The sequence below is a fragment of the Homo sapiens genome, chromosome 8, assembly GCF_000001405.40.
Source record: "Homo sapiens chromosome 8, GRCh38.p14 Primary Assembly".
In the NCBI taxonomy this organism is placed as follows: Eukaryota; Metazoa; Chordata; class Mammalia; order Primates; family Hominidae; genus Homo; species Homo sapiens.
The window spans coordinates 100639173-100661796 of NC_000008.11; the positions used below are offsets into that span (position 1 = coordinate 100639173).

The following is a 22624-nucleotide window of genomic DNA, read 5'->3' on the forward strand; positions in this document are numbered from 1 at the left end:
TTTCTGAACTTTACAACAGAAGCTTCGTGTTTGCAAATATTTTTAGAAATAATTTAGGAGGTTTGGGGAATCCGAGGATGGAATGTAGAATGTGATAAAACTATGTTACAAATGTATGAAACCAACTCACTGAACGTGGTGAGAAAAAAAGTGCTGACCTAAGTCACTTTGAAAATGAGTGGAGTCTGTAAACTAAAGGCAAAGAAACTAACTGTACACAGGCATTGGACTCTGGCTGATAAAGTTGTTTTCCACAGGAGTATAGGTTAACAGCACTATACTGCCACATGTGTATACAGAATCAAACAAGTAAATGAATGGCAGATAGTGGGAGTCAGGTTTCCAACTGTTGTAGTGGCAGTTTACACATAAGGGGAAGAGGCTAGAATGATCCATGTGGTAATGCACTAGAGTTGAATATATTAGTATGACCACATGTTTAGTTTAATATAGATGACTACATATAGAAATATTTATTCATGTGTCTGTATACATGGGTTTGTATACACACATATATTTCCTTGCTCTGTCAGCTGAGAGGACCTAGATGCAACAACACTCCAGTAACAATGAACATATCTAGTGCCCAGATCTTAGATTGCAATACCATTCTACAATCAGTGCAACCAAGGATCTATGGAGAAATGGCTGATTTCTAGGACTGAGGCAGGAAATATATAAGATGGGCCTGGAGTACCTTGTAGCTCCAGAAAGTAAGGAAACATTCAAAACAAATGAAAAAAACAAATCAGGAATGGGAGTATGTCAGAGACAAGGAGCAAAATGAAAGAGCTTCCATGGGCCAAGATGGAACAATTTGACCAACCAAGTAGTAGTGAAATATGACCCAAAGTATAAAGTGAATATCCATGAGTCCTTACAGACTTGTTTTAAATAAATAGGAGCGACTAGACAAATCTCTTGTGCAGAAGAACATCAGATAATTTCTTTTCTTTTCTTTTCTTTTTTTTGGAGACAGAGTCTTGCTCTTGTTGCCCAGGCTGGAGTGCAATGGTGCCATCTTGGCTCACTGCAACCTCTGCCTCCTGGGTTCGAGTAATTCTCCTGCCTCGCCTCCCGAGTAGCTGGGATTACAGGCATGTGCCACTATGCCTGGCTAATTTTGTATTTTTAGTAGAGACGGGGTTTCTCCATGTTGGTCAGGCTGGTCTCAAACTCCTGACCTCAGGTGATCCACCCACCTTGGCCTCCCAAAATGTTGGGATTACAGGCGTGAGCCACCACGCCCAGCCATATCAGATAATTTCTATAGATACTTCTCAAAAAGGGGGAGCATAAATCCCCACTCTCAGTGTGGGCTGCATGTAGTGACTTCCTTCCAAAGAGGATACTATGGAAAGAGAGGACAAAAGAGTAACTTTACAGTGGAGAAAACTGACAAATACTACCTCACCCAGGTGATGAAGACCAACATCAAGAGTGTAAGTCAGATGATAGTAGGTACTCTTGATACGATGTGATTAGTGCGGCACTTTATCTCTGGGGTCTTCATCCCCCCAACCCATAACCCCCATCTAATTATGTAAAAAATATAAGACAAATTCCAAGAAGGATATTCTACAAAATATCTGACAAGTACTCATCAGAATTATCAAGGTCATTAAACATAAGGAAAATCTAAGAAACTGTTACAGACAAGAGGAACTTAAGGAGACCTAACAACTCAATGTAATGTGGTACACTGGCCAGGGTCCTGGAAGAGAAATAGGACATTAGGTAAACACTAAGGAGGTCTGAAAAGTTATAGATTGTAGTTAATAAGAATGTATCAATACTGATTTGTTAATTGTAATGAATGCACCATATTAATATAAAACCTTAATAATAGAGGAAACTGTGGATTATATGGAAACCCTCTGTCCTATCTTTTCTGAAAACTAAAACTGTTTCAAAAATTAAGTTTATTTAAAAAAAAACTGATGTTCTGGCTTCTCTGGAAAACTGAGATCTGGAATCAATGGGTTCACATTCAGGCAACTGTCTGGTGAGGGGACCTAAACCATTCCCACCACTCTCCACTGTTGTTCACCTGATCCTCATCTCTCATTTAAAGTACCTGCCAGTTGGCTGCGGTGGCTCACGCCTGTCATCTCAACACTTTGGGAGGCCTAGGTGGGCAGATTGCTTGAGTCCATGAGTTTAAGACCAGCCTAGGTAACATGGCAAGATGTTGTCTCTACTAAATATACAAAAAATTAAGCCAAGTGTGGTAGCATGTGCCTGTAGTCCCAGCTACTCAGGAAGTTGAGGTGGGAGAATAACCTGAGCTGGAGACTTCAAGGCTAAGGCAACAGTGAGCCGAGATCACACCACTGCGCTCCAGCCTGGGCCACTGGAGTGAGACCTTGTCTCAAAAAAAAAAAAAAAAAAAAATATATATATATATATATATATATATATATACACATACACACACACACGCACACACGCGCATATATATATATATATATATATATATATATATATGTATGGTACTTGCCTGTAGCCATTTAAGTTTGCAATCTCTCATCTAAACCTAGTATAATTTTTTTTTTTTTTTGAGACAGGGTCTCACTCCTGTGGCCCAGGCTAGAGTACGATTAAACCTAGTATAAAATATTATAGGCCGGGCGTGGTGGCTCACGCCTGTAATCCCAGCACTTTGGGAGGCCGAGGCGGGCGGATCACGAGGTCAGGAGATCTAGACCATCCTGGCTAACGCGGTGAAACCCCGTCTCTACTAAAAATACAAAAAAATTAGCCGGGCTTGGTGGCAGGTGCCTGTAGTCCCAGCTACTCGGGAGGCTGAGGCAGGAGAATGGCGCGAACCCGGGAGGCGGAGCTTGCAGTGAGCCGAGATCGCGCCACTGCACTCCAGCCTGGGCGACAGAGCGAGACTCCATCTCAAACAAACAAACAAACAAAATATTATAAAGACAATTCTGTTTCTTTTAAACTCAAGGAAATTTTTCGGCCCTTCCAGAGACTGTCAAAAGGCATCCCAGTTGGAGCATTATCCCAGGCAGGGCTGCTGAAACAACCTGGGATTGATGCACCCATCTCTGCTAATTCCATTAAATAGAAGCAAAAATTTGACTTCTTTGCATGCAATTATTTCTTGGCTAACTGATTAAGTGATCTTTAAAAGGCCATTGTCTTCATTGGCATGTGTTCGTAAATGTCGCAGATGTTCCCGAATCAGTTCTAATCACAGCAGCCTTGAATCAACAGGGCTGCCTGAGTTATCCATCTGCAAGACAGTATCTTGGGGAAGCCCTGAGGCCAAGATCTGGGGAAAAATCAACAAGGATTAAGGTTCTAATACCTATCACAGAGCAGAAACCTTCCCAGCAGGTTTTTACAACCTGAGCTGACTTGTCAAGGAATCTTTCTCCTCCCTTCTCGGATACTGACCTAAGGGGGACAATGAACATAAAGGAAACTGAGTAGTTAAATGTGCCAAAAGTCAACAATCAAATCCAAATTCAACTCCACCAAAAGAGGACCTTTTCCATGGGTCTCAGTACACAGTTGAGCTATCAAAACCACCAGCGTACTGAGAAGTATCTGGTACTACAGTTCAGCCCTACCTGTCTTTCAAAAAACTGTTTAAAGAGATCAAAAGGAAAACATATCTGTTCTGCTCTTTTATTATGTGGTGTTTTTGTTTGTTTGGAGTATTGTGGGTTTTTTTTAAGACTGTGATCTGACAAATATTTTCATAAACCCCAGAACAGGGCGGGCGTGATGGCTCATGCCTGTAATCCTAGCACTTTGGGAGGCTGAGGCAGGCAGATCACCTGAGGTCAGGAGTTCAAGACCAGCCTGGCCAACATGGCAAAACCCCCTCTCTACTAAAAATACAAAAATTAGCCAGGTGTGGTGGCAGGCACTTGTAATCCCAGGTACCCGGGAGGCTGAGGCAGGAGAATCACTTGAACTTGGGGGGGGTGGAGGTTGCAGTGAGCTGAGATCGCACCACCTCACTGCAGCTTAGGTGAAAGAGCGTGACTCCGTCTCAAAAAAACAAAACAAAACAGAAACAAACAAAAAAATCCCAGAACAATCTCCTGTACCAACTACCCCTTCGTACAGCTCTGCCTTTTAACATGAAGAGGCCTTTACAGGCCAGTTGAAAATGTCACCTACTTCCCCCACCTTACTGCATTCACACCCCCCTATACCTATGCCAAAATGGTGATGGCCTGGGACAAGTAGAATTACAGACACAAAAGGTGTCTGTTTCTAATGTCGACTCATTCTTCCCACCTCTCCAAGTCCCCTTGTAGTTAAAAACCCAAATTCACCAGATAAAGGGCCACAGCTCAGAGTCTGGGTGGTGGCATCTAGCACCTAAGAGCATGGCCTAGAGCTTGCATATTATCCCATTTGTTCCTCAAAACAGCACTACGAGGTAGACAGATCCTCAGCACCATGAACCTTGAGCGGGAGCAACCCCAGACTCAGGGAGATGAAGTGACTTAAAACTAGGACATCCAAGCTGATGACTGGCAGAAGATGGACTCAGTCTTCTCACTGCTGTCATCATCATCACCATCACCTTTTCCACCAAATCTCTGCTAAGCAACTACCAAGGCAGAATTCCATGCTGGGTGTTCCATACCCACAAGCCTTCATTCTGTCCCTTCATTCAAATATTTGGATTTTGCTTATAAATAATCAGGGGAGACAAAATATAAACACAAAAAGAGGAAGGAGCATGACAAGGTTGAAACATGAAGCGGCACAGCAATCAGAGAAAGGCATCTCATGCAATCAAGGAGGACTTCCTGGAGGAGATGGGACTGAGGTGGGCTTTGAGAAACGATTGCTCCCTTGACAGGTAGACTAAAACCAGGAGTCATCCCAGGCAGAGGAAGTGAGCCAGGCAGAGACAAAGAGTGGGCCAGCCTGATAGGAACAGGAGGTATGGGTAGGGAAAGAGGAGATCAGGTTAGGTCAGAGGGGAAGCAGCCAAGTTGGGTCAGCACTTGGCAGGGAGGACAACTGAACCAGCGCACACAGGCTGCACAGCCCTCCCCTCCTACTGACGGGTCCTTTGCAAGCTTTCCCAACTTGTCCCCATTGCCATGTCTGATGCTGGCAGAGTGCAAAGAAACAGAGCCCCATATCACTGTTCACAGAGCCCCATATCACTTACACAGGATGGCCTCATCTGTAACTTGGTCAAAATGAGCTGATTAAATGTTTCCCTCACAGATTTCTTTAAATCTATTTGGGCAGGGTGGTGCCAGCAAGAGCAGGGGCATAAATCAAACTGGTTTTGTTTATCTAAAGGCACAGAAAATGTGGGGCCAGCCAGTTCACACAGCAGGAAGATGAGCAGCACTGAGCAGCAGAGGGTCAAAAAGCTGCCAGAGCCCGAGGGAGCCTCACTGGGGACAGGACTGCAGGTGAGGATGACAGAGGGCGCAGGTCACAGCAGAGCCCATGGAAACACATCCACCTCTTCCCAAGGTCCAGCTTTTCTTTGTTTTGGTTTTTGTTTTGAGACAGAGTCTCCCTCTGTTGCCCAGCCTGGAGTGCAGTGGTGGGATCTCAGCTCACTGCAATCTGTGCCTCCTGGGTTCAAGCAATTCTCGTGCCTCATTCTCCCAAGTAGCTGGGATTATAGGCACATGCCACCACACCTGGCTAATTTTTTGTATTTTAGTAGAGACGGGGTTTTACCATTGCCCAGGCAGGTCTCAAACTCTTGAGCTGAAGTGATCCACCCACCTTGGCCTCCCAAAATGCTGGGATTCCAGGTGTGAGCCACTGCACCTGGCCAACCCAGGTCCAGTTTTTATGCATTAGCTCTCCACATACCCTGGCTGAGATGGAGTAGAGGCCACCTCACCTGTGCCAGGTACTGCCCCTCAATCTCAGTTATCCAACATGCAAAATATAAGTCCAATTCTTAAAGCCAAAGATCACACATGCTAAAGTAATAGTCCTAATTTAACAGAATGCGTGGCATATAACAGAAACTTAGTAAACATTTCTTAAGCAAATAATCAGTTAATTATATAGAAGAAAACTATTCTATCAGGATGCAGAACTTCCCAGAAAATAAACTGGAAATAAACTCATATTCCCCAAACACACACACAGATGGGACCTTTCTACTATTTCCTTCTTTACAGTGCTCTGTGTTAAATCAGATTAAGAATTCTGAGCTGTTTCACATCCTCCACTGAATAGGAGAAATAAAAACTAGCTGAGAAATATCTGGGAGAGGTCACCCAAACTTTCAGCCTCAGACTTAGGGTGGCCAGATAAAATACAGGATGCTCAGTTAAATATGTATCAAGTGGTGCATGGGGCATACTTATACTAAAAAAAATTGTTTGTTGTTGATTTGTAATTTAAATTTAATTGGGAGACTTTGTATTTGTATTTGCTAAATCTAGCAACCCTACTCAGACTCTTCATTTTTTTTTTTTTTTTTTTTTTTGAGACAAGGTCTCACTCTGTCACCCAGGTTGGAGTGCAGTGGCGCAATCTGAGCTCACTGCAACCTCCACCTCCCAGGCTCAAGCGATCCTCCCACCTCAGGCTCCTGAATAGCTGGAATTACAGGAGCACCACCATGCCTGGCTAATTTTTTGTATTTTTGGTAGAGACAGGGTTTTGCCATGTTGCCCAGGCTGGTCTTGAACTCCCGAGCTCAGGCAGTCCACCCACCTTGGCCTCCCAGAGTGCTGGGATTGCAGGTGTGAATCACCATGCCCGGCCTCAGACTCTTTACCTATAAAATGAGAATGATGATGATGATTGAACTGCTGACCTTACTGGGGACTTGCTGGAACAAAATCCTGTGTCTGGAACTCGCATGACAGAGAGTAGATGTTGGAGGCCTGGGGTCAGGGCTGAATGAAGGGGATTGAGAGCAAAAAGACTATCGGGGCCAAGGGTAAACTTCCCCTTCATCCTCTGAAGCTTCACTGAAAAACCACCTGACAAAAGGCAGATTCATAGGAGGAAAGGCATACAAATTTACTAACATGCGCGGGAGTCTTACAAAATAAAAGATCTCAAAGAAATGGCCAAATAGTTGATGGTTTTATACCATCTTGAGATTACAGAAAAAAGCGGCATGGTCAAAAACAGGTTATGGTGGCAAATCAGGTTATGGTGGCAAGACAGGTCACGGGAAGAAGAGGAGAGACCCGGCAAGCAAAAGTGGTCTTAGTATACAGAGGAAACCCACAGGTAGCAGCTCTCAGAAAGAACAGTTGGTAAACATTTGTTTCAGACCTTTAAAGGTGTCAGACTCTCTGTGATTCTTTCCTAAATCTGAACAAGAGAGGACTTCAGAGAAAGCCTGGCTGCATCAATACAGATTCTCTCTACAGGTGCAAATCTCCTCCACAAAAGGCAGCTTTTCAGCTATTCTGATATTTCCAGCTTTCTACACAGCCATCTTGAAATATGTCATAGTAGTACATTTTGGGATAAAATATTTTGGTTTCCTTCAAGGACAAGGGGACTTTTAGAGTGAGGCAAAAAAAAATTTTAACCTCGATCATGGTGGTGGTAATTGTATACATTTACCAAAATTCATTACACTGAACCCATAAAGTTGGGGAATTTTATTACATTACATGATTCCAAAATACAGTAAAAGTATGTTAGTTTAGGACTCAGTCATTTGACTCATTGTTTTACTGATACGATTTATTTTATCAACGTTAGAAAGAAATCACATTAATGTAATAGGTCAGAGCAGGTTCTAGAAATCAAGTCCTGCCTCCAACATTAACAATATGACTTTAGGAAAATTGTGCCTCAGCTGCTTCACCTGTTAAATTGGACTAATTCTAATGCTAGCTCATAAGGCTATTATAAAAATTAAGCTATTACAGGTAAAGTGTTTGGTACCAAACTCAGCACACAGTAACTACTTGTTATTGTTTCAGATTGATTATAAATACCAATAGCCATCTAAGATCTAAATAGTTTCTTTAAAAATGTAGTAGTTTGTATAGAAAGGGGGAAAATGATAAATATTCATATGCGATATATGGAAGTTGGAAACTAGACAAAGAAATTTCCATTTTACTATTTTGAGAAATCTGGGATAAATATGAAATATTTATTAAAATCTATTTTATTAAAATCTATTGTATGTCCTACTGAGGGCACTGAGCCATGGTAATTCAATATTTAAAGGCCCCAATAGTAAATAACAGACAATTTCTACTTCATGTCTTACCAAATAGAAGATCAAGAATAAAATTTACTCACTCTATGCCTCTGCTTCTGGACCTGCTAGGATTTGGTTCATCTGAGTTTTCCTGAAAATAAGCATTTTCCCAAGTCTATTGGGTAAGGAGGGCCAGATTCAGGAGTGCTTGAAGCCTCTTGAGTCCACAAATGTTTGCTGAGCATATATTATGTACCAGGCTCTGCAAGCAGCTGGCCCCTAATCTTCACAAGCACACTGTGAGGCTGACATCCATAAGGACCCATTTGCTTATTATTTCTGATGAGAAAATTGAAGATCAGAGGAGAGGTGAGGTGATCAGCCAGGACGCAGTTGATCAGTCACAGGCTCTCTTGCTGCCTCCTGCTCTGCTCCTGCCCCTTCCCCACCTCAAGCTGCAGGAAAACAGAGGAGGGTAGGAGAGGATACCCTGCCTCCCCCTGCCAATGCCTAAGACACTCATCCTTTCTCTTCCTTTGAGATCCCTGCCTCTGCAGTCCTCACAATTCCCCATGTGTTTCAGTCACAAGTAGCTTCTTATCTTCCAGAAGTCTGAATCTATGCCATTCTTCATTCAATCATTTGACAATCGTTCCTAAGGACCTACTGGGTCACAGCACTAGTAATACAAAGATGACCACTCAAATTAACTAGTAACCACATTACAACTGTTCTTGGTTGACTCCAAAGATACTTAATCACACCTTGAAAATGGACTTTTCCAATGCACTGTGATGTATGAGCAAGAAGGCTTGCTACAGTGACAATTTAATAGCAGAAAAAACAAACTAAGCTGTCGGTCAACAGAAGATGGTTAAATGAAACATGGTGTATCTAACTCACTAGAAACCCAGAGACTGTCTGAAAAAACTCTCTCAAAACAAGCAAACAAACAAAAACAGCTGTTACCTCTGGGAAAGTTTTTTCAGTTTTCTCTACACTTTTTTTTTTTTTTTTTTTAATAGAGACAAGGTCTCGGCTATGTTGCCCAGGCTGGTCTCAAACTCTGGGACTCAAGTAATCCTCCTGCCTCAGTCTCCCAAAGTATTGGGATTACAAGCATGAGCCACGGTGCCTGGCCTATACTTTTGTTTTTAATGTTAGGTATGTGCTGTTTATAACCTAAAATCTAAAACAAAAAAACAAAAATCACTATTCATGGGGGAGTGGAGGAGGAGTGTAAAGTTTATTTCTAAACTTTCATTTACTTCTCTAATCCATTTTGAAGACTTATAACACCTCCTTATAAGAACAATGAAACCCATTAGAGCAGACTAATAAATCAGTCTGCCTCCCAGAGAAAATACTGTCAAGACAGCAGGGTGAGAAACTATCCTAGCTTGGTAAGTCATGTTCCCTGGTTCCCAGCCTGCCAGTACTTGAAGCCTCATGGCCATTCAAAAACAAAACTAGAGACACACCTTTTTAAAGGGGGCAAACTTAAGAAACTCTCGAGACAAAGGAGATTAAATACCCATGTACAAGACTCCAAAGACTCTAGGCCTTGATCTAGACCCAGTTTCCAAATTTTGGAGGGAAGCATTGTCCTGGGGAACAGCGGGCACTGAAATGGGGCCCAGCATAGCCCCAGCGCCCTGCCAGGCGGCGCTAGCGGGGATCACCCGGCTGCAACTGCGAGGGGCTTGGAAGAATCACCTGCGCCCGGTTCCCTCATCTCACAGCTGTAGGCGACCAGGAGCCGCAGCATGCATTCATCCAACTGTATGCCAAGCAATTCAGTTCATCCTTACCAGGACCCTGTTTCACAATAGGAAGCCCGAGGCCGTGAAAGGCCCAGTGTCTTGCCAGAGTCAGAGGAACAGAGCGCTTTGGGGACAGCTTTCTCCACCTGTCTCAGTGGATGGGCTCGTACCCGCCTCCAATCTGCTCACCTGTTCGTTCCAACCGTGCAGCTGGCTGTAGCGCACCCTGCAGAAGAGGAACCCGTCCAGGTGCACGGAGTACAGCTGCAAACACACAGACACCCCGTCCCTGGTGAGCCGAGGGATAAGTGAGCATTGCCACCGGCCCCCTCCCTGCCCACCCTGACCCCAGCCCTGGGCGCACCACGTAGCGGCCCCCCAGCGCGTCGGACCGCTGCTGGGACACCGGGATACAGAAATGCATCTTCATGGCTGAGCGGTGTCTTGGGAGTAGCGCTGGGAACCCGACCTGCGGCGGCGGGCGGTGCGCGGCTCTGAACTCGGCAGCGGTGGACGCAGCGCGGCCTGCCACGCGACTCAGAGCGAACCCCGGCGCCCGCTCTCGCCGGCCGGGGACATCTACAGGTGGGGCCGGGGCCGGGCCGCGCCGCCTCCCAGTCCCCGCCCCATCCAGCCCCGCCGCTCTGGTCCCGGGATAGGTGGCGCCTGGGGCTGGGGCGCATCCACGGCCACCCCCACCCCGGACATCGGCCACTGTTGGCATTTTCTCCAAGAAGGCCCGTGAGGGGCTTGAAAACAGTTTGTGTCCCATTACCTGCCAACGCTGCCTGCAGTGCACTAATTAAGATTTCTGTAATTACATAGATCTAGTAACTGCCTTATGATTAGCAGAGTTATGTTTGGTCAGTTTTTTTGTACTGACATTTGTTAAATGTAACACAAGACATGCAGCAATATATGCAACCTTGCTTTCGTATTATTCTTTCAATCTTGTTTTTTCCCCTTAAAATACCAGAAGCCCCCCCCAAATGGAAATGGCTTGGGTTTCTCTTGATCCCTGAGAAGCCCTCATTTTTAGACAGGTGCATTCACATAAACACTTGGTTCTCTGGACTACCCAGTGCAAGTTCTTTCAACAGTCTCTCATTTTTAGTTGCTGTGGAAAATAATCTTCCTAATTCTCTATTTTAGTTAAATGAAACTAGAATTCCTCCCACCTTGCCGTGATCACAGAGCACAGAGATGCTGCAGCTCTCACCAGCCTGTTCTGTAGCAAGCCTGGGCTGGCTCCGTTCTTCCCTCTCTCCTTTAATCTACCCGTAACTCTTCCAGGTAAACAGAGGACATCCTACCACGGACAAAACAGGCCCAGGGGGTGGAGGAACTTGTCCAAGCTCACAGGGCATTTTTTTCATGGGTCTGAGTCGTTTACTGCAGGATTTCATCAGGATCATTGAAAGTCCTTTCAAATGCCAGTCATCCCTGGGGTAAGAGCTGCATGCCTGAAACGGGAATCCGAGACTAAGGAAGGAGAAGCGACGCCTGCCAAACACCGGTGCCTCCTGCGTGCTTGCTGGGTGCCAGGACCTGACATATGCTATGCCATTTAATTTTCACAAACACCTGTGGGCTAGGAGCCATTGACAGTTCTGGTCTTATAGAAAAGGAAATTGAGGCTAGGGCCATTAAGTGAGGGAAGCAGTATCATATAGTAGTTAAGAGAATGGCAACAGGAATTCATGTCCCAGCTTAGTGGCTTCTAGTTGAGAGGCCTTGGGCAAATTAGTGTTTTTTGTGTTTTTTTGTTTTTTTTTTTTTTGTTTTGAGACAGAGTTTTGCTCTGGTTGCCCAGGCTGGAGTGCAATGGTGCGATCTCAGCTCACCACAACCTCTGCCTCCCGGGTTCAAGTGATTTTCCTGCCTCAGCCTCCTGAGTAGCTGGGATTACAGGCATACGCCACCACACCCGGCTAATTTTGTATTTTTAGTAGAGACAGGGTTTCTCCATGTTGGTCAGGCTGGTCTCAAACTCTTGACCTCAGGTGATCTGTCCACCTCGGCCTCCCAAAGTGCTGAGATTACAAGTGTGAAATTAGTGCACTCTTTAAGCTGCAGTTCCTTCTTATGAAATCATGTTAATAACTCTACTTACTTCAAGGGAATTTTCAGTCCAGGATAGATGGGCCTTAGGGTATTTCCCCTGCCCATAGGCCATCTCTGATCTGGAAGGCCTCCCTATACCAAGGCCAGGGGTATTCCTGAGTGCCTCTTGGGACAAAGCCTGATCACGGCAGCTCTGGAATCTGGTCTGATCTTCAGGGCAAAGCAGAGCATTTTGGTCAGACCCAGAAGTGGCCCCAGCTTTCCTGGAACTTTCCTGCTCCAGTGAATGGCCTGGACCCTGGTTTCACCCCATGGCATGTCCAAACAGGGCCATTTCCTTCCTTTCACTAAGTGCCCCCCTGGAGTTGAACTGGAACAGGACAGGCCTCTGTGCAAGTCACCGTCCTCTTGCATCCCTGACCTCTGCTGTAGCCAGTCAGCTCTTATTCAGTCATTCAGTCAGTGAACATTATTGAGCTCCTTCTGTGTACTCCACACTGTGCAAGACAATCTTCAAACATGACCAAGAGAGAAGTATAATAATGGTAGCAGCGATTGGAGGCGCTGCTCTGAACACTTTACATGAATGAAGTCATTTAATTCTCACAATTGCCTGAAGTAGGTACTGATATTATTCTCATTTCACAGATGGGGAAACTGAAGCATAGGGCAATGAAGAAACTTGCTCTGAATTGCAGAATTTGTGAATAGTAGATGGGGGATGTGAAGTAAGTGATCTGCCTCTAGAGCCTGTGCTCTGTGAAGCTGCTTTTCAGGGGTGCCTGGGGAAATCTGTACCACGACTTGACAAGCGCACCCTTTACAAGTTTTTAATTCTTTTTTTTTTTGAAACAGTGTCTTGCTCAGTCACCCAGGCCGGAGTGCAGTGGTGTGAGCTCGGCTCACTGCAAGCTCCACCTCCCGGGTTCATGCCATTCTCCTGCCTCGGCCTCCCGAGTAGCTGGGATTACAGGCACACGCCACAATGCCCGGCTAATTTTTTGTATTTTTAGTAGAGACGGGGTTTCACCGTGTTAGCCAGGATGGTCTCGATCTCCTGACCTCATGATCTACCCGCCTCGGCCTCCCAAAGTCGTGGGATTACAGGTGTGAGCCACCGCGCCCGGCCCACAGGTTTTTAATTCTTGATGGAGTTTTAAATAAACATTTATGATGCTCAATTTCTGAATCAATCCTATATTGTTTCCAAGGGGTATTTTAATTTACTCTGTGCCTGGTGCATGGTCAGCACTCAATAAAAGCTTAACATTTCTTCATTCAGGGAGTATTCATTGAGTGCTTCTTATGAGCCAGGCGCTGCAGTGAGGCTGTTAGACATGGCAGCCTCAGTCCCCTAACCTTATGGAGCCTAAGCTTATTTACAGATTTTAAAAAGAGGCCATTTCTGTAATATGGCCCATAGTATTACAGAACAAATGCACTATTTCCTACTTTGAAAGCCTTAGGCATTATTTGCATGTTGCCTCTCATCTACTTGGTGTGTAATCTTTTTGGCTCTTTGATATCTGGTACCCACACTCTTTTGGAGGTATGGATAATGAGGTATGGCTCTGTCTTGTTCTGGAACTTTCCACGTCTCCTGAGTCCTTCACACCCTTGGGCCTCTGGGATGGGGAGGGCAGTAGGGTCCACGAGGGAGCCAGTGAGATGGATCATAATGTCTGGTGCTCTACACCAGAGGGGCCCAGCCAATGTGCATTATGGGTTCCTTTGCTGCATCTTTTCTTATAGCCCAGGTGTTGCGCACATCACCCCAACAGTCAAGGCTGTGGCCATATGAAAAAAAGGGTCTTGAGCAAACATGGAAGAGATTCCTGGTTGGTGGACACCTATTTTGAGCAAACACAGAAAGGGATAGGAGCTGGAAGGTTGGGCATGCAGAGTTAAGTCTTCGCATCCTGTGTATTTTTCTTCATCTGCCTGTGTCCTCCTCACTCTCTTGAGGTTCAGACGAGTGAGTCAGAAAGGTAAGGCTGGATGGCTTGGGATGTGTATCTTTCTCTGTCTTTACTTGTATTGGTCTGTGTTGGGTGCTCTAGGGTCTTTGGAATTTGAGGAAATATATAAAATTATACGATACATAGGAGAACTACAAAATCACACCAGTGGTTCTAAAATGTCCATGGTTCCTGGAGGATTTTCTGGTCCAGAACACCTACTCAGAGACTGACTGTAGTTGGTTGAATAGTGTCCTGATTTGGAAATAGGGTCTTGGCAGACATCATAAGGTAAGGCTCAAGATGAGATCCTACTGGATTAGGGCAGCTCCACATCCAATTAGCGTATCCTTATAAGGCACAGAAAAGGAAATACAGAGACACAGAGGAGAAGGCCACATGAAGACGAGGCAGAGCTGGAGTTGTGCTTCCAGAAGCCAAGAAGCGCCTCAGGCCACCAGAAGCTCAGGAGAACAAGGAAGGAGTCAGCCCTAGAGCTTTCAGAGAGAGCACGGCTCTGCCGACACTTTGATTTCAGACTTCCAGCCTCCAGAACTATGAGAGAATTCATTTCTGTGGTCGTAAGCCACCCAGTTTGAGGCACTTTGTTATGGAAGCCATAAGGAAAACCTACACTGATGCTGTGGCCACAGTCAGCCTCATACCAGAGAGCAGAGGGCTGAGCCCCTGGCCGTGTGCGCATCTGTGGAGAATGGAACAGAGGAAGAGCAGCTCAGAGGAAAGGAGACAGTGTCCTGCAATCTGAGGGACAGTGTCCTGAATGTAGTAACAAGACTGGCTAACCCTATGCAGCACTCACTCTTGGCCAGACATAACTCTGTGTAACATGCACAAACTCATTTAATGCTTGCAACAACCATCTGAACTTGGTGGGTTTTGTTTTTGTTTTTGTTTTTGAGACAGGGTCTTGCTCTGTTGCCCAGGTTGGAGTGGAGTGACATGATCATGGCTCACTGCAGCCTTGACCTCCCCAGGCTCAGGTGATCCTCCCACCTCAGTCTCCCAAGTAGCTGGGACTACAGGGGTGCACCATCACACCCGGCTAATTTTTTAATTTTTTTGGTAGAGATGGTGTTTTGCCCATGTTGCCCAGGCCAGTCTCTAATCCCTTGGTCTCAAGTGCTCCTCCCACCTCAGCCTCCCAAAGTGCTGGGATTACAGGCGTGAGCCACTGCCCTGGTCTTTGGTGTGATTGTTATCCCTATTTTATAGGAGACGAAACTGAGGTGGAGGGAAATCAATAACTCACCCGAAGTCACACAGTTTGTAAGAGAAGAGTCAGGATTCAAATCCAGGCTGCCTGGAAAGTCTCCAAAGCCCTTGCTCCTAATCACTTCTCCAAACAAAAATAACGTTTCAGTCTGTACTTACTCATTTGAGGAACTCTGGAAAATCAAGAGTCCCCAGATTTGAGGGATGACATCAGGAAAACACCACTCTATGGAAATGAAACTGCTGGGAATCGAGCCATGGCAGAAGTGACCCCCACCCCAGGGGACCTGGGAATGGGCTGCTGAGAAGCACACGTCCCTTTCAGGGCCTCTGTGAAGGCATCACATTCAATGTGGGAATTGAAAGATGAAGATGGAAAAAGTAAAGATGGGGCCGGGTGCAGTGGCTCTCACCTGTAATCCCAGCACTTTGGGAGGCTGAGGCATGCGGATCACTTGAGGTCAGGAGTTCGAGACCAGCCTGGCCAACATGGTGAGATACTGTCTCTGCTAAAACTACAAAAATTAGCCAGATGTGGTAGTACACACCTGTAATCCCAGCTGCTAGGGAGGCTGAGGCAGGAGAATTGCCTGAACCCAGGAGGCAGAGGTTGCAGTAAACTGAGATTGTGCCATTGCACTTCAGCCTGGGTGACAGAGTGAGAATCCGTCTCAAAAAACAAAACAAAACAAAACTGAAGACAGAAGGTGGGGCCAGTTACAACAACCTTACTGCCTAGGAAGAGGAGGCAGACAATATTCAAAAACTGCTAAATACCAGCACCTTGGGGAAGGGGCACGGTGACGTCCGGTCTGCCACAACAGCACACAGGAGGGACATTGACCCAGCAGGCATGAAGGGAGGAGCAGGGAGGGAAAGGCTTTCTGGAGAAGGTGATGTTTGAGAGAGATTCTTCAGGAAGAGTTAACTGGTAAGAGCATTTTAGGAAGGCAACACAGCAAAGGCCTGGGATAAAATTAAAAGAAACAAAAAGCCAGGTGATATGGTTTGGCTGTATCCCCACCCAAATCTCATCTTGAATTGTAGCTCCCATAATTCTCACATGTTGTGGGAGAGACCCTGTGGGAGATCACTGAATCATGGGGGCAGTTTCCCCCATACTGTTCTCGTGGTGGTGAATACGTCTCACAAGATCAGATGGTTTTATAAGAGGAAACCCCTTTTGCTTGGCTCATTCTCTCTTGTCTGCCACCATGTAAGAAGTGCCTTTCAGCTTCTGCATTCTGCCATGATTGTGAGGCCTCCCCAACCATGTGGAACTGTAAATCCATTAAACCTCTTTTTCTTTATAAATTACCTAGTCTCGAGTATGTCTTTATCAGCAGGAGTTTGTTGTTATGGAGAAGTATAGGTGAGGCCTAAGAAGTGGACAGTGAGGCTGGGGAGGGAGGCAGCCTGATCTTTTGAAGGTTGCAGCTGCTGGGCCAAGAAGCTTGGAGTTTGCCCTGTAGATGAAGAAGAGCTACCTATGGGAGAAGGTGTGGACAGCATGTGTTCTAGATGGAGATCACTGTGGCCAGTGTGCAGGGAATGAGGGGGGCTGTCACATAACTAGAGGCAGTCAGACCAGCAAGGAAGTTTTTTGAGAGAAAAGATGGTAGAACATGAGTCTTGTAAAGTGCTCCTCAAAAACTGGGTGGGAGGCCTGGGTGGCATCATCTGTGATAATCTCTCTTGGATGTTCACAAAGTGCTTTAGTGTATGGAGGGCTCTGAGATATCTGCAGCAAGGAAACCTGGGACTCTGTTTTACATTGTACCTGTTCACATTGCAGAGGCTAATGTCCCAGGAATGGCTGTCAACAGAAGACAGAGGCCTAGGCAAGGGCAGTGTCAAAAAGGATGGATTTAAAAATATTTAAGAAGCATGCTTGGTCTCTCAAGTCACCTGCTTGTCCCTCTTCCAAGTGTACTTTCCTTCCTTTTTTTCTTTCCTTACTGTTCTAAAGATTTTAAAGAAACTTCCACTCCTGCTCTGAAAAATAAATAAATAAAAACAGCCAGACATGGTGACTTACACCTGTAATTCCAGCACTTTGGGAGGCCAAGGCAGGCAGATCACCTGAGGTCAGGAGTTCAAGACCAGCCTAGTCCAACATGGTGAAACCCTGTCTCTACTAAAAATACAAAAATTAGCCAGGCGTGGTTGTGGGTGCCTGTAATCCCAGCTACTCGGGAGGCCAAGGCGGGAGAATCTCTTGAACCTGGGAGGCGGAGGTTGCAGTGAGCCGAGATAACGCCACTGCACTCCAGCCTGGGCAACAGAGTGAGACTCTGTCTCAAAAAAAAAAAAAAAAAAAAAAAAAACCTTTAAGAGCAAAGCACAAACTGTATAATTAGCTAGAAATGGCTCCTGTCCTCAAAAAACCAAAAGATAACCATTTAGGCTTTAACGATTTGTTGACCCTAAACCACTTTGGGATCCTTTCACAATGTGTTGCAAAGTTTGGCTACTTGTACTTGATCCACATTCTGGAGGTTTTCATTTCCTTTCTCTTAGATCCTCTCTTCATGTGTAATGGTTGCTGCCGACAATGATTCCCAGATGTGACCCTGCTCTGTCCCAGTCTGGCAGCGAGAAGTATGGAAAAACTGAACCAGGCATTGAATTCTGAAGAAATACAGGTGCAAGAGCAAGCATTCGACAGTCATCACCATGCTAATGAAGCTTACACAGAAAGATGGCGTGCCATTGGATATTGTACCTTACAGTAAATTAATATTTTGTTAAAATGTAATTTTAAAAAATGAGGAGGGAAAGTGACACAAGACTTGAATTAATCAGGCATGGGAAGTAAAGAAAAGAAGGGAGGCTGGGCATGGTGGCTCACACCTGTAATCCCAGCACTTTGGGAGGCCGAGGCAGGCGGATCACCTGAGGTCGGGAGTTCAAGACCAGCCTGACCAACATGGAGAAACCCTGTCTCTACTAAAAATACAAAATTAGCCAGGTATGGTGGTGCATGCCTGTAATCCCAGCTACTCAGGAGGCTGAGGCAGGAGAATTGCTTGAACCTGGAAGGCAGAGGTTGCGGTGAGCCAAGATCGCGCCATTGTGCTCCAGCCTGGGCAACAAGAGCAAAACTCCAACTCAAAAAAAAAAAAAGAAAAAAGAAAAAAAGAAAGAAAGAAAAGGGAGGGAAGGGAGCCCCGAGGCTGCCTCTGGGTTTGGGTGGAACAGGCTTGCTGGCCAAGGAGACCTCATTTGGGGAGGCAGCAGGTATACCTGTGGAGTCCAGACTGTGCTTGGATGTGTGGGAAGGAGGTCCAGCTGGAGGGCTTGGGAGCCAGTCTGAAGTGGAGGGACAAGATGGGGATTGGGAATACAGGTGAAGATCAGGGTCACGGGAGATGGTGCAGTCACCTGGTGAAGGTCCAGAGGTGAAGAATGAAGTGGACTACTTGGGAGGCTGAGGCAGGAGAATCCCTTGAACCTGGGAGGCAGAGGTTGCAGTAAGCCAAGATCGCCCCACTGCATTCCAGCCTGGGTGACAAAGGTAGACTCCATCTCAAAAGAAAACAAAAAAACAAAAAATAACAACAACAACAACAACAACAACAAACAACTAAAAAAATTGGTCACCACCTGTGATTTGTTACCACTGTGAAAAATCACAGATCCTTGGCATTTTGTTTAGACCTCGGCAGGTCAGTTCAGCCCAGCCTGGACTGACCATGGGAATCATCTGGGAAGCTTTAAAAAAATGCTGATGTCCGGGTCCCACCTTCAGGGATCCTGATTTAATTGTTTTTTGGAGGATAGCCTGGGCATCGGGATGCTAATGCTCCCGAAGTGTGAAAACTACTGGCGAGTGAGTAAAACCCACTGTGGTCAGAGCCCCTCACAGCTCTGAAGATTCTAAAGGCTGCAATTTTGGCTCAGCTTGCTGTCTAGGAGATGGAGGCTACTGTTGGAAAAATGCCTCCCTGGGAAGCTACGTTAGAATCTCATCCAAGCAGCTTGCAGGGGCAAAACTGCAGTGAAACATTGCCTGAGATTTTATTCAAAGTCTTTTTCATTCATGTGCAGAATGAAAGTTCATTTCTTGTGCTGCTAGAAACCTACTGAGCGACAGTGAGTGGATGCTCAAATGCTGCTGCAGAGGCATTAGCCAGTATTTAAGAGCATAGTTTACATGTAGTGGGTACTTCCCATGTGTCAGACACTACTCAGGGCACTTTACAATATTACTTCACTTGATCCACACAACAACCCTATGAAATAGGTACTACTGTTTGCACTTTACTGATAAGGAAACTGAGATCAGAGAGGTTAAGCATCTTGCCCAAAGTTGCACAGCTGGTAAGTCCCACAGCCAGGATTTGAAACTCGAGTGCCCAGGCTCTGCAGTGATCTGTGGGACACTAGGACCACAGTGGGGCATGGCCAGTGTGGACTTTGTGTAAGCACACACGAGATGCTTCCGGGATCACCATACTTTCAAGAGGTTCTTTGCGATGAGTCGAGGTCTTGGTTAGGGGTGAACCAATGACTGCTGTTTGATCACTCCTGGTGGGACCTACTCTGTGCCCACTGGCTGCTAGGCTTGGCGGAATTCAAATTTGAATACAGTTGTTTCCAACTGCATTGTACAGGTGGAAAATATGTTGATTTAAGAAGAACTTAGATTCATGTGGGATTCACACATGGATTACAAAGCAGGATCAAGAATTAAGTAAGGGACATAAGAAGGTGTGGGGGCTGGCCGGGCACAGGGGCTCATGCCTGTAATACCAGCACTTTGGGAGGCCGAGGTGGGTGAATCACCTGAGGTCAGGAGTTTAAGACCAGACTGGCCAACATGGTGAAACCCCATCTCTACTAAAAATATAAAAATTAGCCGGGCCTGGTGGTGGGCACCTGTAATCCTAGCTACTCGGGAGGCTGACGCAGGAGACTTGCTTGAACCCAGGAGGCGGAGGTTGCAGGAGCTGAGATCACACCACTGCCCTCCAGCCTCTCCAGCCTGGGCGACAGAGCAAAACTCCATCACAAAAAAAAAAAAAAAAAAAAAAAAGCGTGGGGGGACATCACACTGTTCTTTTCATTCAGGGTCAAGGAGCACAGCAAGACATTTCTGAGGCTGTCCCATGTACGGGTCTCAGAGACAGATATCTAAGATATTTGGTTTGAGGCATTTTAATTATTTTTGCTTGCTTACAGATGGCTATCTTTATTGGTTACAAGTAACGAGAATGTTTCCTGCTTTTCTGAACAAAGGTAGCAACTCCATAGACATCAGAACTATTTTTAAGTGTTTTTTTTGTAAAAGCAATATCCATCCATTGTATAAAATTTAGAAAACACAGATAAACCAAAAGAAGAGAGTAAAAAGTTTCCTCAACCCCAAGACAAAGAGTAATTACTGTTTGTGTTTTGGTTTGGATCTTTTGGCAAACATTTGGTACAATTTTAGTTTATATCTTTCCAGTCTTTTCAACTCTGGCTTTATAAGTTACCCCCAACCACAAAATGAGGTCTTTCAAGACATACAGTTTTAGAGCTTTTGTTTTTTTTTCACTTAATCCTTTTCCTTTTTCTCCTTATTCTGCTTTCATAGGTAAAATGAGACAAACTCTTTGATCTACTGACACCTCTACTGTATCATTTCTCTATATAATGAAAAAGATAATAATAGAAGGATTAACAATAGATAGAAAAATGACTTAGGAACTACAGGAGAAAAAAGAATGAAAATATGATTAAGATCACTCTTTGGCTGAAAGTAAATTATGCCAGTGAAATGATTTTGCTCAAATTATATATCAGTTATTATGATTATTAGTTACCTTTCTCTGAGCACTTACCATCTTCCAGAGAACCATTTTACGTAAACTACTTTGTTCAATCTTCACACCTACCCACAGATTAGCTAATGGTATTAGCAGTAGTAATAATAGTAGAATGCTGATTTTCAGATTAAAAAACTAAAGCAGAAAGAGGTGAGCTTGTCCCAGTCACATTGTTTAAAAGTGGCAGGGCCAGAAATTGAATCCAGGCTCTCTAAGCCTAAACTCTTTGCAGCAATTTTTATTATTTATTTTAAATTTACTTCATTTGAGTTATCAGCCACTAATGTATGCTGTTTCCTGTAAAGACAATGTTTTACCCATGCCCGCAGGCTCTTCAGAGTGATACTAAATGATTGTGTTTTACACAAGAGATCAAACCAGGTCCTGCAATGTCACTCAGCACGGGGCTCTAACTCAAGTGGCAGGCGTCCCTGACCTGACAGAAGAAGGTTCTGTAGGGGTCAAACTTGATGCCCAGAAAGTTCCTATATTCAGCCTTCCCCACTAACACTGGCCTGGCCTCTCCCAGCAGCCTGGCCTGGGCCTGTCAAACTCCAGTGTACTTGCTCTGAATCCCTCCTCTCCACAGACCCCAACGATTAGCCATAAAATGAGCTCACAAAGGCATTTACACTAGAATCATAAATCTGAATAATATTTGTAAAAGGGCTGCTTTGAGAGGTTCTACTCAGTATCGGGTTCTGCTGGCAGACCAAGCCCTGGCAATCACACATTCGTGCTAATGCAGCATGGATCATCCCTTTATATTTTCCTCATGCCATACAGTTTTTAGGAGCATTCTGATGAACATTCAATCTTCACAACAATCCTACCTGCCAGAAAAGCAGGTCGATATTTTTTTTTTTTTTTTGAGACAGGGTCTCTCTCTGTCGCCCAGGCTGGAGTGCAGTGGCGTGATCTCGGCTCACTGCAACCTCCGCCTCCCAGGTTCAAGCGATTCTCCTGCCTCAGCCTCCCGAGTAGCTGGAATTACCGGCATGTGCCACCATGCCCAGCTAATTTTTGTATTTTTAGTAGAGACGAGGTTTCACCATGTTGGCCAGGCTGGTCTCAAACTCCTGACCTCAGGTGATCTGCCCGCCTCGGCCTCCCAAAGTGCTGGGATTACAGGCGTGAGCCACTGCGCCCGGCAAAAGCAGGTAGATATTATAAGTTCCATATTACTGATGAAAAACACTAAGGCCCAGAGAGGTTCAGAGGATTAGAAAGTTATAGAATCATAAATTCTCATAAATGCAAGAAGATCAAAAAAGTCCATCAAAACCAGGAATAACAAGACTGGAACTGAGTGTTGGCTCTGATTCAGGTAGCGAACACCTGAGGCCCTGTGTTAAAAAGAATGAGGTTAGTGGGAAATAATGATAGCTAATATATATATATTTTAATCTAGATAGGGTCTCACTCTGTCACCCAGGAAGGATTATGGTTCACTGCAGCCTCGACCGCCTGGGCTCAAGTCATCCTCTCACCTCGGCCTCCCAAGGAGCTGGGACTATAACATGCACCACCACACACGGCCAGTTTTTTTTTTTATTTTGTAGAAACTAGGTCTAACTATTTTGTTCAGGCTAGTCTCAAACTCCTGGGCTCTAGCAATCCTCCTGCCTCAGCCTCCCAAAGTGC

At 45.2% G+C, this 22624-nt stretch overlaps 1 protein-coding gene across 16 annotated transcripts in view; it reads right to left on the reverse strand.

Annotated features, from left to right (window-relative positions):
• Positions 1–22624, reverse strand: part of SNX31 (sorting nexin 31) — a 90712-nt gene that overhangs the window by 66299 nt on the left and 1789 nt on the right. For 15 of the 16 annotated variants that reach the window (XM_024447085.2, XM_017013161.2, XM_017013162.2 and 12 more), the window contains exons 1-2: positions 10277–10493; positions 10102–10176 (exon numbers count right to left, since the gene is read on the reverse strand). The exons of the other annotated variant lie outside the window; for it this stretch is intronic. In XM_024447085.2, coding sequence (XP_024302853.1) covers positions 10102–10176; positions 10277–10342 — 141 coding nt within the window. In that variant the 5' untranslated portion in view covers positions 10343–10493. Of the gene's footprint in view, positions 1–10101; positions 10177–10276; positions 10494–22624 lie in introns of those variants that run through there. 16 annotated transcript variants of the gene reach the window in all.